Raw genomic sequence first — 16,707 nt, 5'->3', positions numbered from 1 at the left:
TTTTGTACATTCAGAGTTGGTAAAAACATAAAAACTCAGAAATGTGCAAATCTGTACAAGAATATTAGCAAGGTATTGTTCAGGGTATTTCCTGGAAGTCTGACAATCAAGTGATTTCCATATAGAGAAACAATTTTAAGTTTTTTAAACTTTTTTTTTTTTTGACACAGAGTCTCACTCTGTAGCCCAGGCTGGAGGGTAGTGGTGAGATCATAGCTCACTGTAACCTTGAACTCCTGGGCTCAAGCGATCCTCCTCCCTCAGCCTCCAGAGTAGCTGGGATAACAGGTGCATGCCACTATGTCTGACTAGTTTTTTTTTTTAGAGATGGAAGTCTTACTATGTTGCCCAGGCTAGTCTCAAACTCCTGGCCTCAAATGATCCTTCCACCTCAGTCTCTCAAAGTGCTAGGATTAGGCTAGGTGACTAGGAGCCACCACGCCTAGCCTAAATTATTATTTTAATCCTATTCAGTTCTGTTGAATAAAATGTTGATAACATTAATTCTTTATTCCCTAAAGAAATATTATTTACACGCTTTTCTAATATTTCTATTGAGTTTTTCCCATTCCTTTGACAAAAGGATTTCATTGTTGTGGATTTATCAGCATGTCACCATTTTAATTTTTCATAATTATGTTATTCTATTTTATCAAACTTAATGTGAGGTTTGTCTCACATTAAAATACACATGGTATTTTAAACTCATAAAGTGTTTATGAAAATTAATATCATTTTTTGATACCCCCCACCCCACATCAGGCTTTTTCTACTGTCCATTTTCTAGAAACAGTCTGTTTGCCTGTGGCCCTTACCTCAGGAACTGGCCAATGGATTTACAGATGTCCCTTGTGGTTCCCGGGATTAGGCAGTCTGATTCATGAACCACAAGCCACACAGGCTATGCTACTGAACCTGCACTATGCCTTTGCGTAAATAACAGGTGAAGTGTCCTGTGACTGCCAGCATTCTCTTGACTGTCAACATAATTTCCTATGGCTTTAGGCAACAGTGCAGCATGTGAACTTATTTATGCTTCATTCTCAGTTCTAGAACACTACTTCCCTATTCTTCGGTGCACGATATTCAAAGGTCAAGGAGAATAATCACCACTATACTCTGAGCAATATGAACAAATTTTATCCTCCATATTCGCTAACTAGGTCCAAATGAAAAAAAATGGATAGTGAAGGTGAAAATAATATGTTGGTTTTGAAATATTTATTTTATGGAATTAAAAGTATTTTTTAAGAATTGACTTTTCAAAATTCATAGTAACATGAAAAAAATAGGAAGGGACACCAGAACAGAAGCAGAAGCAAATAAAGAAAATGAAAGTGCGCATCACATAAGGGCATCTGTGACATTAGAAAGTAGTGTACATAACAAGAAACAGGGAAGTCGGGTGGATGCAGGCTCCACCAACTGAACAATCAATGATGGCTGAAACCGAGCAGTGCATCGTTAGGCAAAGCAGGATGATTCTTCTGCTGCTATAGAAGAACCTATTGCACTGAAGAGTTTGTAGAAGTCATTAAATGAGAAGGGCAAAGAAATAAGAATAATAAAAGAGTATGCCTCATTGAATATAAGTAATCTAGGATATAACAACCTGCTCACAGGTCATAAATAAACGATAACAACATTTGTCTACACAGAATGAAAAGAGCAGTTCACTGAACCATATAGAGCGAATCTGTATGGCTTTATCAATACCTGCAATTATCTCTCCCTAGCTGGTTGGAAATAAGAAATCATCACACTACAGCTGGCACCCGTTTCCAATATAAATGCCTTTCAGTTGCAATGGAAACTCACTGCATTACTGATTAAGTATGAAATCCCAGAAGACTTGCTTAAAACCTACCTGATGGTATCATGTGCTCAACCCATGGAAAATCAATGGCTCATCTCAATTTCAAGCTGCAAGAGTACTGATGTGCCCAGGCACCATCATGAGGTGGTTTTCTCACTTTCTTGCAACCTTTTTGACCACATCCTGCTTCTCATAGAACATCTAGTGAATAAAGACATGAATTTCAGATCATGTCACTTTGATGTATTTGAGTATAGAGTACTTACTCTGTGCTAAGCACTTTGCTGGACTCACAGCCTATGATAGAGAAGCAGGATATCTGTATTTCAGTCACAAATTTTAAAAGCTTTAAGTGATGCCATTTTTTATATACAAAAAATGTATTTTTAAAAACATCACAGATAGCCAGGTGCAGTGACTCATGCCTGTAATCCCAGCACTTTGGGAGGACAAGATGGGTGGATCACTTGAACCCAAGAATTCAAGACCAGCCTGGGCAGCATAGTGAAATCCTATCTCAAAAAAAAAAAAAAAAAAAAAAAAAAAACACCACACAAAAATTAGCACACGCCTGTAGTCCCAGATATGCAGGAGGTTGAGGTGGGAGGATTGCTTGAGCCCAGGAGATCAAGGCTGCCATGAACCATGATCGTGCCACTGCACCCCAGCCTGGGAAACAGAGTGAGACCCTGTCTCAAATAAACAAAGAAAAAAAAACAAATAGCACAGACAGAGGGAAGGAGGGAAGGAGGGAAGGAGGGAAGGAGGGAAGGAGGGAGGGAGGGAAGGAGGGAGGGAGAGAGGGAGGGAGGGAAGGAGGAAAGGAGGGAGGGAGGGAGGGAGGGAAGGAGGGAGGGAGGGAAGGAGGAAAGGAGGGAAGGAAGGAAGGAAGGAGGGAAGGAAATCCATTTTAAGTTAGATCCTCAGGGCCTTAACTCCAGGGCTTTTTAGAGAATGCATTTTTTAAAAACAGAAGAAGGGATAAACTGAAGTCCAAGAGAGGTGACCATGGTTCCTACTTGTCTTTTTTTTTTTTTTTCCTGAAGAAAATTATGTCCATTCTAAGGGGGACAGGAAGGTCAGAAACACGGAGATTTCTTGTTGTTGCAGTTTCAGTCTTCCATTATTTTCTTTTACTTTCTCCCCTGTTAAATTTGATTCTCTCTTTCTGACTGGCATGATGATGGCCAGAAAGGCTTTAACTCAACACTTTTGTGTACACAACTCAAGGTGAAGTGCAGCTTCAGTAACTATGCAGTCAGCCTGATTAACGCAGAAGATCAGAGTGGATTTTTGTTGTGCTATCTAACCCCAGACTACACCATAAAACATGACTCACCAAGGCTGTTGAGAATAGCCATGAACCAGGAGTTCTCTCACAAACTCTCTGCATGACTTTGGTCAAGTATTTCAACTTTTCTGAGCCTCAGCTTCCTTTACTGTAAAGAGAAGGGTTATTATAAACAATACCAAAAGCCTTTTCTAGCTTTAAAATTATGTGATTTTTTTTTTTTTTTTTTTTTTTTTTTGAGACAGAGTCTTGCTCTGTCTCCAGGCTGGAGTGCAGTAGCACAATCTAGGCTCACTACAACCTCCACCTCCCAGGTTCAAGCCATTCTCCTGCCCCAGCCTCCCGAGTAGCTGGGACTGTGGGCACCCGCCACCACGCCCAGATAATTTTTGTATTTTTGGTAGAGACGAGGTTTCACATTGTTGGTCAGAATGATCTCAATCTCCTGACCTCGTGATCCACCCACCTCAGCCCCCCAAAGTGCTGGGATTATAGGTTTGAGCCACCGTGCCCGGCCAATTTTTCTTTTTTAAATCTAAATTATATAGTTGTGTGTATCCCTAAGAAGTTTCACTCCTATTCTGGTTTCTATGTGTTAGAATTCAGATTTTCATAATCTGATATTTGGTTTTCTTGCATAATATGGACCAAGCCATGACCTAAAGAGTGTAATTTGTCTTGTGATCCCAAAATGTTAACTTTTTCCTAACTAAACCCTGCCTGGTTTAAGTAGGTAGTCTAAATGTCATTTATTCAATATTCATGAATGACTTCTATCCTAAGAAGAGTGGTTTCTGGCTCTGAAAGCCCCAGTGGGCTTTACTTTGTACACTGCATGTGAAAATCAAACCTGCCCCATGCTATAGACGTTCTAAGGCCACAGACTCCATAACTTGACAGCACCTGTTAGCTGTGTGACCCTAGGCAAGATCTTTAACATCTTCATGCCTTGCTTCTTCTTTCATAAAATGGAGACAATCATACCTACTCCATAGAATAGCATGAGCTGCATAAATAAATGCAAAGGACTTAAACAGGTCCTCGTAGTGTAAGCATTATACAAGGACTTGGTACTGTAAGTTATTTTTTATTTTAAATTAAAATCCTCTACAATGAAATTGTGTCCAGACTTTGCAGGTTCTTGGTCTCACTGATTTCAAGACTAAAGCTGTGGACCCTGACGGTGTGTGTTACAGTTCTTGAAGACGGTGTATCTGAAGTTTGTTCCTTCTGATGTTCGGACCCGTCCGGAGTTTCTTCCACCAGTAGAAGAAACTCCTAGTGGTGGGTTCGTGGACTCACTGACTTCAGGAGTGAAGTTGCAGACCCTCGCTGTGAGTGTTACAGCTCTTACAGGTGGTGCATCTGAAGTTGCTCGTTCCTTCCAGTGGGTTTATGGTCTCACCGGCTTTGGGAGTGAAGCCGCAGACCTTCACAATGAGCGTTACATCTTACAAACGCAGCATGGACCCAAAAAGTGAGCAGCAGCAAGTTTTATTGCTAAGAGCAAAAGAACAAAACTTCCACCATTAGGAAAGAAATCCGCGTGGGCTTCCGCTGCTAACTCAGGTGGCCTACTTTTATTCCCTTATCTGGCCCCACCCACATCCTGCTGATTGGTCCATTTTACAGAGAGCTGATTGGTCCATTTAACAGAGAGCTGATTGGTCCATTTTACAGAGAGCTGATTGGTCCGTTTTACAGACAGCTGACTGGTCTGTTTTGACAGAGTGCTGATTGGTGCATTTACAAACCTTTAGCTAGACACAGAGGGCTGAATGGTGCATTTACAATCCTTTAGCTAGACCCAAAAGTTCTCCAAGTCCCCACCCGTGGGAGAAACCCAGCCAGCTTCACCTCTCACTGGTACCCTGGCTGGATTTTGCAGTGCCTATCCCAGGCACCCTGGCAGCCCAGAGGGAGCTCATCCCAGACAACCAAGAGGAAAAGAGGGGAAGCGAGAAAGAGATGGAGACCCGCCATCGTGGCCAATGACCCCACGAAGAGGGAGCGGTGGTCCACGCACAAGACCCAGCCTTCGATCAAGCCCAGCAGGCGCCAGCTGGCCACGCCGAGTGCGGGGCCACAGCCATCCGGAACCGCACCGTCTGGCTCCCGCCCATGCCTTTCCTTCCACACCTCCCCGCGAGCAGAGGGAGCCGGTTGCGGCCTCGGCCAGCCCCAGAGAGGGGACCCCACAGTGCAGCGGAGGAATGAAGGGCTCCTCGAGCACGGCCGGAGCGGACGCCAAGGCCGAGGAGGCGCTGAGAGCGAGCCAGGGCTGCTAGCACGTTGTCACCTCTCAAAATGTACACACCCATGAAATAAGTCAACTCAGCTTCATTAATGCACAAACATAATTAAGCATTTGTTTCCTATGTGTTTTATTTCATTACACATGATTTTCATTTCATAGAGAAAGAAAGCAAGACAAAGAGGTAAAGTAACTTTCTCAAGGTCACCTGGCTGTCTTCATCTGTACGCTTGAGGAGATATTCCATCTTTTTTCTCCTTCAATTTTCAGGCCACTTAACGTTCCTCGAAGAAATAGGGATTACACCTGAAGTGGCTTTGAAATCCTGCACAAACTGGCACATGGAGACCTATCTTGAATTTTCATCTGTCTTTCCAGTTGGAGATAACAATTTGGGAAGGAAGAGGGCATAGAAAATGAGCAACTTGCTATGTAAATAAGGTCAAAGAATAAGTTCACTTGTCTAGATCCTGGTTTATGATGCCTAAATACTGGACCACTGATAGGTGAAGAGTGGAAAGTCAGGTGGAAATGCACTTCAAAGGCAGTTTCCTCATCGGAAAAAGAGCAAGACATCAAATGAAAATCTGAGAAGGAGGGATGAATCATCCAAATGCAGCCATACTACCAAATTCCATGGTCAAAAAACAATTAAGACAGAAACTATTATCAGCAGCTTCTAACAATTCTTGGGAGTAAATAGAAAAATGTTTGAGAACACTACTTATTACCCGCACACACACAAATTGAGTAACAAGGATGTTTAAAATGATAATTAAAAAGATAAAGGAGATAAGTACGGTGTCAAAGATAGCATCAAGGCTCATGACTGAAACAGGGCAAAGGAAACTGTTAAATTAATCAGATCCTGTAGAAAATGAGAAAAAAGAAAATACTGTGTGTCAAGTATTTCCTGATGGAAAGATGTCAGAAAGTGTGGCTGGGTGGACGGTCAGCTGCTCAAAAGGTGGCAGTAGTTTCCTGTGTCACCATAGACCAGAGCATGGTCTTCAGTATTGCAGATCCAGAAACACAATCTGTCAGTGCATAGAGAATTGATCGGAGGCTTATCACATACTAAAGAAATTGATAATAGGCCTAAAGGATAGTATGTGAGGAGAAATAAAGCTGGACAACCCTGAAGGCTCACTTCTTCCAACGTTTGTTAGCTTAGAAGCTGACTCAGCAAATCTGAGTTAGCTCCGAGGAATCCAAGCTGACAGCAGCTGCTGAGCCTCAAAGACTTTCTTTCCTAATGAGGCCACTTCCCCCACCAGAGGCCTCCATTAATGCTTTCTGCTCATAAGTCCCTATGCTCAAAGGACAGACTGGAACTGTTTGATATGGGCCTGAAAGTTGTATCACACTGTAAATCAACACACTACTGTCTTCATCAAGGAAGCCTTGCTACAAGAAAATAAAATGCCTGCTGAACTACACATTGTGCTTAGGGACATAGCAGATTTACATACTGGTGCCATCTCCTTGTGTCCCTCATGGACTGGCAACTAACTGCCAGCCAATGGAGTACACCGTGAGCAGCACTGACATGGAGCATTGTACAGGTGTGCTATGGTTTGAATGTGTGCCCCAAAGTCCACTTCTGGAAACTGTAATCCCCAATGCAATAGTGTTAAGAAGTGGGACCTTTAAGGGGTGATTAGGTCCTGAGGGTTCTGCTCTCATGAATAGATTAATGTTGCTATCGCAGGAATGGATTCATTATTGCAAGAGTGAGTTTTTTATCAAATGGAGTTCAGCCCTCTCTTGCTTGCTGTCTTCCCCTTTCTCCCTCTCTCACCCTCCACCTTGGGATGACACAGCAAGAAGACCCTTGCCAGATGCCACCATCTTGATACTGGACTTCCCAGCCTCCAGAACAATAAGGAATAAGCTTCTTTTCTTTATAAACTACCCAGTCTGTGGTATACTGTTATAGTGATACAAATGGACTAAGACAGGGTGGGTCCATTCATGATACAACCATTCCAGCTGGGCCTAGCCTAAGTGTGTCTCTGTGTGGGATCATGAGAGCTTGGAGGTTCCTATGCACTTCTCTGCTTTAAGTTTTGTCCTCCAAATAAATCCTATCTTACATTTACACTGCATAACAGTGGTGATGAGTGTTCATGTCCGCTTTGCGAGACAACATATTAATTTAGAATAATAAACATAATCGTTATAGTTGCTGGAATATATGGGTCTTCCACCAGTGCTTCACAGTATTTTTTGCATTGTGCCACTAATAGAAATGTTGATCTTTGAAAGATACACTGGAGTAAATTTGGCAGCTCCTCTTGGTGCCCAGTAGCCCCTCACCCTAAACAGCCACCTCAAAGACTAAAGGAATCGATATCTCAGCACATCTGCAAGATTTCTGTGGCTCACTGGAGTGTCCTGGTATGACTCCATCCAGAGCATCTCTTAGGGGCTGAATTGTGTCCTCTACCTCCCAAAATTTGTATATTGAAATCCCAACTCCCAGTACCTCAGAATGTAACCATGTTTGAAGATAAACTCTTTCAGGAGGTGATTAAATTAAAATTAGGTCATTGAGGTTGGGTCCTAATCCAATATGACTGGTGTGCTAATAAGAAGAGGGAGAGATACCAGGGATGTGCTTATACAGAGGAACAACCCTGTGATGAGGCAACAAGAGGCAGCCATCTGCAAGCCAAGGAGAAAGGACTCAGAGGAAACTAACCCTGCCAGCACTCTGATCTTGGACTTCTACCCTCAAGATTTGTGAGAAAATTAATTTCTGCTGTTTAAGCCACACTGTCTGTAGTTATTGTCTTATGGCAGCCTTAGCAAATTAATACAGTATCTTTCCCTAGATCAGGGTTGCTTGGTGAATGCAGGAGACAGTGAAGGGAGTTAGGTAATCTTGAGAATAGCTCAAGAGGGAGCTCCCCATCCCTGTGTGCGTCCAGGAGAAATTTGGATTCCCCATCAGGGACATAACACTGGGTGGAGAATAGACCAGCTGGCTTCCAACATTTAGATTCTATCATTTTTCTCTACAAACTTTGATTTCCTCACGGAAGAGAATTATCACTTCCATCATCAAATATACTCTCCTATCTAGAAATTAAAATGAAAACAAAAGCATATTTAAAGACTTTCACTTGACTCCCTCTGTCCCCTCCTTCCTTTGGCTCCTAAATTTCTCAAGCGCATGCTGTCTTACTGCTGCCATCATCTTTGCCCTACTTTTTGGACACAAATGTTTGAAATAGGCCTTAAAGCACAGATTGGCTCCTACCAAACGAGAGAAAAAGGACTGAGGACTGTCTTTCCAGGTAGGAAGGAAGGTGATGTCGCCCTGTCTCTACCGTCAGAGTCACGGAAAGGTGAGGTGGTCTTTCAAAAACTGCAGTTACCACAGGAAAACAGTATTCCAGAATTTTCCACCTGGCTTAAAGGTCTACAGATCCACTTCTAACTGTGTTCATTTTAAAGAATCACTCAGCTTAGAGAGCTGTGATCTCTGTGAAGTTATTAGCAAGTCTAACCAATTCTGTTGAGAGAAAAGAATAGCAAGAATAATGGCTATGGTTGGCTTCAGGGATGCTACATGGCTCTTGCACCTTTTACTCCTCTGCTTTATGAAGTTTGAGTTGTATTCATCCATCTTAAAGTAGATTAAGGCCTGAGGCCAGGCTTTCGGTTTTTTTGTGTTTGTTTGTTTGTTTTTAATGTACTTAAACCTGCTTGCTTCCTACCACAGATTCTTTATTTTCCCAAACAAAAAACTTTTAAACTTTGCCATTTCATCTGTTTACACTCTTTGCCACTGATTAGCAGTATTTAAATCTTGCAAGAATATTTTGTGCTTCCTTTAGAAACACAAGAGTATAGATTTTTCTCACTGAAAAGTGAGAGTTACGCATTGCAGCCATGAAGGGATGCTAGGATCAATTATGGCAGTACCTTTTTTCCCCTCCTGTTCTTGAGCCAGTTGCCTCTTTTGTTTTGGGTCCCACTTAGGATTAACGGATGTAAGGTATTTTTCCTGTGCCTTTATTTTGTGTCATTCTATTGGAAGGAGGTGTAACGGCAGAATAGCATAGTGTTAGGGGTTTTCTTTCAAACACTGCAAGTGGTATCGCCACCATGTGAACCTCAAATATGCAATCCAGTTGTGTTGGTTTCTCGGTGACTTAGAGTGTTCATCTCTTCATGAATTGTGAGCACTGACCATGTTCTTCAGTTCTTATTTATGGTGAGTTGACAAATACCAACTACTGCTTTTCTTCAGATGGCTATAAATTTCTTATTGTCAGGGGGAAATGACACTATATTCTGTTCCACTGAGCGTCTGAGATCAGCAGGCACTGTACTGGGTAGAGAAGTGCCTATACTTCTCTACCTAAGAGGGCAGGAGGGAAACCCTACAGCTCCTTGTGAGCCTATATATTAGTATATCGGCCTGGAGAGGACAAGGGAATAAGACCACTCATAGTGAGGCTGGCCAAACTGCACTGGTTGGACCAGGCAGTGGCTGACCTAAGGAAGACAACTTGCTTTGCTTAAAAGTAGATTTTTTAAGCAATGCTTAACACAGGCAGTATTAACTTCACCTTTCGTTCAGGCCATCAACATGTATTGTTAAAATTACTGCACATCCCCCTCAGATATCGAGTATACACTGTTCATGTTGGGGTGTGTGTGTGTGTGTGTGTGTGTATGTATGTACGCACGCATGTGTCCCAAATCTTGTTTTAATTTTTTTTTTCTGAATGTGATCATGTTTTGGGTGATACCTGAGCAAGGTTGCCTTTTTTTTATTACCATTGTATATTATATTATATTATATTATATTATATTATATTATATTATATTATATATTTTTTGCTTTCTTATAACTTTGGAGGAAAGTCAAATCTTGGTATTATTAAAATTGTTTTAAAAAGGAGTAAATTTTCCAGTTGATAAATGAAAATCAATGGTCTAGCTTTAAAATAATGAGTTTTTCTTTAATTACTGTGGAATAACGTGCCAGCTATCATCAACACAATGATTTTGTACATAGGGTAGGGAAGCAGTGATGCTCTCAATGGGAAGATGTGCAACACAAATTAAGGGGAACTCCATGTATTTTACCTGCTTCAGCAATGGAACTGCAACTTGGGGCTTTGTGAATAAAGTGTAGCTGCCTTGTATAGTCGTTTGAAAGAGAATATGTGATCTGTGAGAGAATTATAGTTGTTTTAGAAGAAAAATCTGCAAAAGATCTTTCCAAAGACAATGTGCCACAGATCTTTTGTTCTCTGTAATAAGGATTAATTGCCGTTTAAACAAAAATGTAATTGTTCATCTTTAAATTCTTTCCTTTTCATAAGAGGATCAAGCTGTAAAAAAACAAAATAATTAATAAAAATGTCGAGAAATCAAAAAAAAAGAATAATGGCTACGGCTAACACAACATTTCTGCTTTAGTCAATAAATTCTAATTCCTACTCTACCAACTCATTTTACAATCAGCTGCTGCTGAGAGAACTCATTATGTGATAAGGGTGTCCCTGCTCTTCTGTGCCAGGTTTTCCTTTGGTAAAAGTGTTAATAAGTAGTAAATGCCCCAAAATGTGAATAATATTTTGATTTTTAAAGTGGACACATATACTTAATGCCACTGAACTGTACACTTTAAAATGATTAAAATGGGGCCAGGCACAATGGCTTATGCCTGTAATCCCAGCACTTCGGAAGGCTGAGGCAAGCAGATCCCCTGAGCCCAGAAGTTTGAGGCTGCAGTGAGCTATGATCATGCCACTGCACTCCAGCCTGGGTGACAGAACAAGACCCTGTCTCTTTAAAAAATAAAAAATTTAAAAAAAATTTAAAAAGGTTAAAATGGTAAATTTTATGTTAACATACAGTGTATTTTACCACAATAAAAAAAAAGTAACACAAAGTCTGAATCACATTAAGAGAGCACCTGTAAGCATGCCAGCCTTCTAAGAGAGTAGGAAGGGGCATGGTTAATAAAACCGTGTCGGTCAGCAAAGTAGAGCAGGTAGGAATGGGAAGCTGAGAATTATATCATCTGCACCCAAAGCACAGAAGCCTCTTCTGATAACTTATCAAGTAAAGACTGTAAATGCCTTTATGCTAAGAATGATACTCAGTATGAACTTATCTGTAAAACACTAGTCATGTTGCCCTCGTGGATTTTACAAGGTTGCATCTTTTTGCTGATTAAATCATTTCTCTACAGGCACTATTTATCTACTGTTTCTGACTGAGAAGGTCAAGGCCTGGGGTGGAGGGCCAGACTCCAGATGTTGTGGCTCACACTGTCAGAACCAAATCACTCTTTCCACATAGATGGTCTCTCAACAACAGCACGTGATTGGAAAAGAGAATAGCTCCATCCCAGGAAAAGCCTTCTGTTCTGTGTTTGCCTTAAGTGTATGATGTTATGTTTAGCCCTCAGTGCAAAGTAGTAACAAACTTCATTGATTATACATTTGCTGTATGCAAAGCATACTACTCAGTCTTGGGGCTATGGCAGTACAAAAAAATATACTCCTACCATCACCAGGCTTAAAGTCTGGATGGGTTGACAAAACATGTTTCTAATTAGTAATGGTTAGCCTGAGGAGATTACCAGTGAAGATTAATTACAAGGGTTTTTCTTGGAGTGCCAAAACTGTTTCCCTCAGTTAATATTTCAACTACTTGTCATCTATTTTGCAATATAATTTTGATTTAAAATTCAAATTCCAACAACAGTAACAACATTTTTTAAATAATTAGATCTCTTTTTAATTTAGTGAGCCTGATTTTCTTTTGAACATGCAACAAAATGTGAGTCAGATTTGTTTTCCCTGCCTGGGATGATGCTGTGGAGTTCATTCCCAGCCCCATCCTTAACATCCTTCCCTGCCTGGGATGATACTGGGAGTTCATTCCCAGCCCCATCCTTAACATCCTTCCCTGCCTGGGATGATACTGGGAGTTCATTCCCAGCCCCATCCTTAACAGCAGAGCAGCACTCCAACTCTGCTAATGATTTGGGACTTTATTTATGACCTGGGTAAGTCTCCTAACACCGCATTACATCTGCACGATAAGTTCCCAGAGGAAGCTTCTGTGGGTGGAGTTGGCTACACTACTGTATACCTGATGAAATAAAAATAACACACACAGAAAACACTATGTACTTCTCCTAAGTGCTTTTTCTTTTTTAATCCTCGCTAGGTGCTATTATTAACCCCATTTTATGGATGAGGAAACTAAGGCATGAAGAGTTTACATGATTTGTTCAGGATCTCACAGCTGGAAAGTAGTGAAACCAGATTTGAACACAATTTGAGTTCTTCCTATCAGCCTGTCCCAGATATCAGCCTAAGGGACACTGATATGTCCCAGCACCAAATATATATCTGAAATTAAATCACAGGATTTGCTTTCTTTGGTTGTAACAATGCTGAAGAAGAGAATTTAAGAAAACATCTGCAATCCTCATTTCCCCCTCTCTGACGATAAGACTCTGACTGCCCTCCCCTGGGGAGTGTTGAAGCATGTTCTTCCTCTTTTTGCCATTCCTTGTTCCACAGAAAACAAGAGCAACAAAATATCTTGGAGGGTTCCTTTATCTTCCTTCCCTCAATCTATGGTATTTATCTAATCTCCTGGCAGTTTACATTTCATGAACATATTTTCATAGCTGGATCACCGCGAAATGCAAAAAGAAAATTTAATTCATGAGGACCAGTAATGCATGCTATACAAATATATCATAAATGTGTATCCCTAGCTACAGCCCCATCACATTTCAGTTGGCTCAAGGATTTTATTTGATTAAAGAAAGTTAATTCAGAAAGTACTTTTCTTTCTTAAAAGTGCTTTACTCCCCCAGGTTACATTTTTGTAAGCATTCTCTTTCTCAGATCTATAATATAAGAAGATTTTTAAAGCACATTTTCTGTGCTATGTCTTCTTGGTAATGCTTTGATTTCCTATAGTTGTTCCTATGGGAAACTCCTATAGGAGTTAATTAAAATTATCCATTAGAAATGTAGGAAAACTTTCATAGGACCATCAGCATAGGCATTCTAGTTCTAGGGAGTTACATTATATTTCTCTAGCTCTCCTAACAGTAGCCTATTTTTATTTCTTCATGTCAGTTGACATTGCTAGTTACAAATGCAGTGGAACTGGATCATAACCTATAGATTCTGCTCTGATAGAAACCAAAGCATAACTATAGAAAAAGTTTCATGTAATATTTCCCAATTGTCAGTCTGTTCACTAGCCCCAACTTTTCAGCACGTCAATCTATAAATCTCAACATTTATTCATCACTTGACAGGTACTGATCAATAGTGTCTTAAGCACTATTCAAAGCAATACATTTGAAATGTCAACATATATGTGGTAAGCATCAGTCCCTAATAGCCAGTTCTTCTCCACTTCTAGCCACTGGCAGGACTACATGTTCCACTCTTCTGAAGCTAGGGCTGGCCTTCTTGCTGATTTGGCTAATAGAATATGAGTGAAAGTGACGTGTCACTTCTGAAGGAAACTATTTAACTTCCAGTGATGGATTCACCAGCCTTCTCTTTGCCTATTCAGTGATTACAGGAGCATATCTTGATATGGGAATACCATGATATCAAGCAGCTAAGAATGCTGAACTGGGAAAACTGCTGCCCTAGAAGGCCCCTCTCCTCAACAGAAAACTTTGCATTAGTGAGAGACAAACTTTAGTTGTTTGGTGGTGATTATAATACAGTACTGTGTGTGATCCATGATTTGCATCATACTGAAGCCCAGAGCCATAGGTACAATTTCTGAGTAAACTAGTCAACTTGCTCTATAAATAGCCAAACATCATTTTAACCCTACTGCACTAAAAAAAATGAGTACTAATGTGTGCTTCTAAGGAGAATTGGGAAAGATGATTTGCATAAATCAGTATACATTTTCTTTATTTCTATAAAAGCAAGTAATGGCATATATCTTAGTGATCAATGTTCACAGGACCATCCTTGTGCATAAAGGATAGCCCTGTATATCTTGTAAATCAAAAATCTATTTGAGCTAAATTAATTCTGGAAAACTATAGATAGACACAACATAAAAATCAGTTTCCAGCTATTTCATGCCAACATAAAGATCCTTATTAGAGGACTTGTAAGCACACACTCTGTGAACAAAAGGAACACCACACCTCTGACAGTGTCAGAATAGATCTGACACTGTCCCCTTCCAAAGCTACACTTAACAGTGAACACCTTCATCCCCCAGACTACGTTGCCTCAACTTCCCCACACCTTCCCTGTCAATCACCCTCATGGAAGGCAGAATTGGGCCTTCCAAGCATGTTCTCCAGGAACCAGAAAATTCTGCTTCCCAAAGTACATTCTCTGCACAAAGCGATATTTGAAATACATGGATGGGAAAAATTGATTCAGAAAAGTAAGAGCTAACCCTTCCCAAATTCTAACCATGTCATTTTTGAGGTTAAGAGAACAGCTCTTTTTTTCCTTGCAAATCTAAAATTCCTCTTTTCAAATAAGTTGATACAGGAAATATCATACTGAAAAGTAGAAGAAAAACAGTTTCTGAGTTCTGGCCAATCTACCCAAGTGTCAGAGGTATTATAATCAAACTTGCATATTGGCAGAAATCTGGACAGTAAGATGCTCACCCAGAGCCATCCTGATCACGATGCATAATTCAGCCACTGTGCAAGCAGCACCACCTGAGAACGGGAGGAAACTAGAGAGGAGCCATCAATAACACGCATCCACTCCCGAAACTGAATATGACTTGAATAGTATATTCAAAGGTAACTTATTAGAGCTTAGATCTCCATTTTGACATGTGGAAAGTTGTTATAAATAGTATGTGCCATGTTACTGCATTTTTATGCTGCTTCATGTATGTTTATTTTCTTAAGTTAAAGAATATAACTTTTTTGTGTGGATCCAAGCAGTGACATTAGAGATTTCCACTTTTCTCTTGATAACTTTCTGTCTTGTCTGAAATTTTTACATGGAGTTGTATAACTTTTATACACAAAAAGAAGCATTTGGGGTGGGGGAAGCAAGCTGTGAGTGAAAAGCTTCATATGAACTCAGTTTAATTTTCAATTCATTCCTGTTGATTTGGGAAACACAATATGACTATCAGCATATTTCTTAGCTGTTTTTTGGGGAAATGCAATTGTTCAAGATCCATCATTCATCTGGTAGGTCATGAGAATTTCCCAAGTATCTACTACAATTTAGGGTTTTTAAGATGGAATGCAATTCTCTGAAAGTAAATTTATAAACTGAACAGAGTATAATCTCCCTTTGTTCATTTAAGCTGGTCTTATGGGAGGGCAAGGAACAAATTTCTCAAGATCTTTTCCAGAATTTTTCTCTAGTAGTCTGCTTTCTAATAAAGCTTATTCTATCACAATTCAAAAAGCAACTGAAGTCCTCAGACATGACCAGCAAATGAATTGTTAGCCTTTGCTTGGTTACTCCTTTACTGAGCAACACCGATTATTTCACTGTATGAGGATCTTCATAAGCCTTCACCCTTTATCCAAGTATACTGGGAATAAGGCTTTACTCTCAGAAATATGTACCTTTTTTACGTTTAAGCTAAATGCAGACAAGCAGAAATTTTACTTTTACCTGCAAATACTAAGAAAAATCCCTCAAAGGCGTAGATCTTTTTTATTACCCTCATAGCTCATGGTAGAGGCCCAACAGTCTTTTGACTGGATGAATGAAATTAAACCCCAAGGAACTTGGGGAATTCCATCTTTAAGGTTTCAGGTTCCTAATTATATCATCTATGGTTACAGAGAAGAGCAGAGCTGAATATTGTCCTGCCTGTGGTGATATGGTGACATCCCATGAAAATCATTCCAGTGACTACCTATGGAATCATTCAGACACCATGGGAATATCCTGGGGAATAATGTACCCTTTCCCAAAAAAATTCAAAATGCAAGGAATCTGATTTTGAAGCTGGGTACAAGCAAGAGTGACTCCCTCCTTCTTCTTCCCTACCCCATCCCTACTATCCCTAATTCCTCTGAATGGAACAATAACTAGCATAACAAGCAAAGGGTTTCAACTTATTAATACCAATGGAAAGGAATGAAAGACAGGTTTTCAGTATGTGTTCCAGACAAGAATTGATAACAGAAAAACCTCAGATAATCTTGCTCATCTTCAAACTCTAGACAAACTGGGACATAAAGAATAATAACAAATCAACTATACTCACAAAAGCACTCTCTTATTTTCTTCCAGAGCAGAACTTAATCATGAATTTCTTTAATTCATTAAGATTTCCAGGAAACTAAGGGAAAACAGCAAAACTCTGGACAAC

The 16,707-nt window shown here is 40.2% G+C and overlaps 2 annotated features.

Annotated features, from left to right (window-relative positions):
• Positions 5,007-5,176: an enhancer, noted in NCBI's record as "experimental_74882 CRE fragment used in MPRA reporter constructs". NCBI's record gives its function as "activates a minimal promoter by MPRAs in K562 erythroleukemia cells, with activity observed for the non-introgressed 4:154727568 variant allele {active_cell/tissue: K562}" and the evidence as "EXISTENCE:reporter gene assay evidence [ECO:0000049][PMID:34662402]".
• Positions 6,888-7,057: an enhancer, noted in NCBI's record as "experimental_74875 CRE fragment used in MPRA reporter constructs". NCBI's record gives its function as "activates a minimal promoter by MPRAs in K562 erythroleukemia cells, with activity observed for both the introgressed and non-introgressed 4:154725687 variant alleles {active_cell/tissue: K562}" and the evidence as "EXISTENCE:reporter gene assay evidence [ECO:0000049][PMID:34662402]".

This window comes from Homo sapiens, chromosome 4, assembly GCF_000001405.40.
Source record: "Homo sapiens chromosome 4, GRCh38.p14 Primary Assembly".
Lineage (NCBI taxonomy): Eukaryota > Metazoa > Chordata > Mammalia > Primates > Hominidae > Homo > Homo sapiens.
This window is presented reverse-complemented; position numbering and strand designations above follow the sequence as displayed.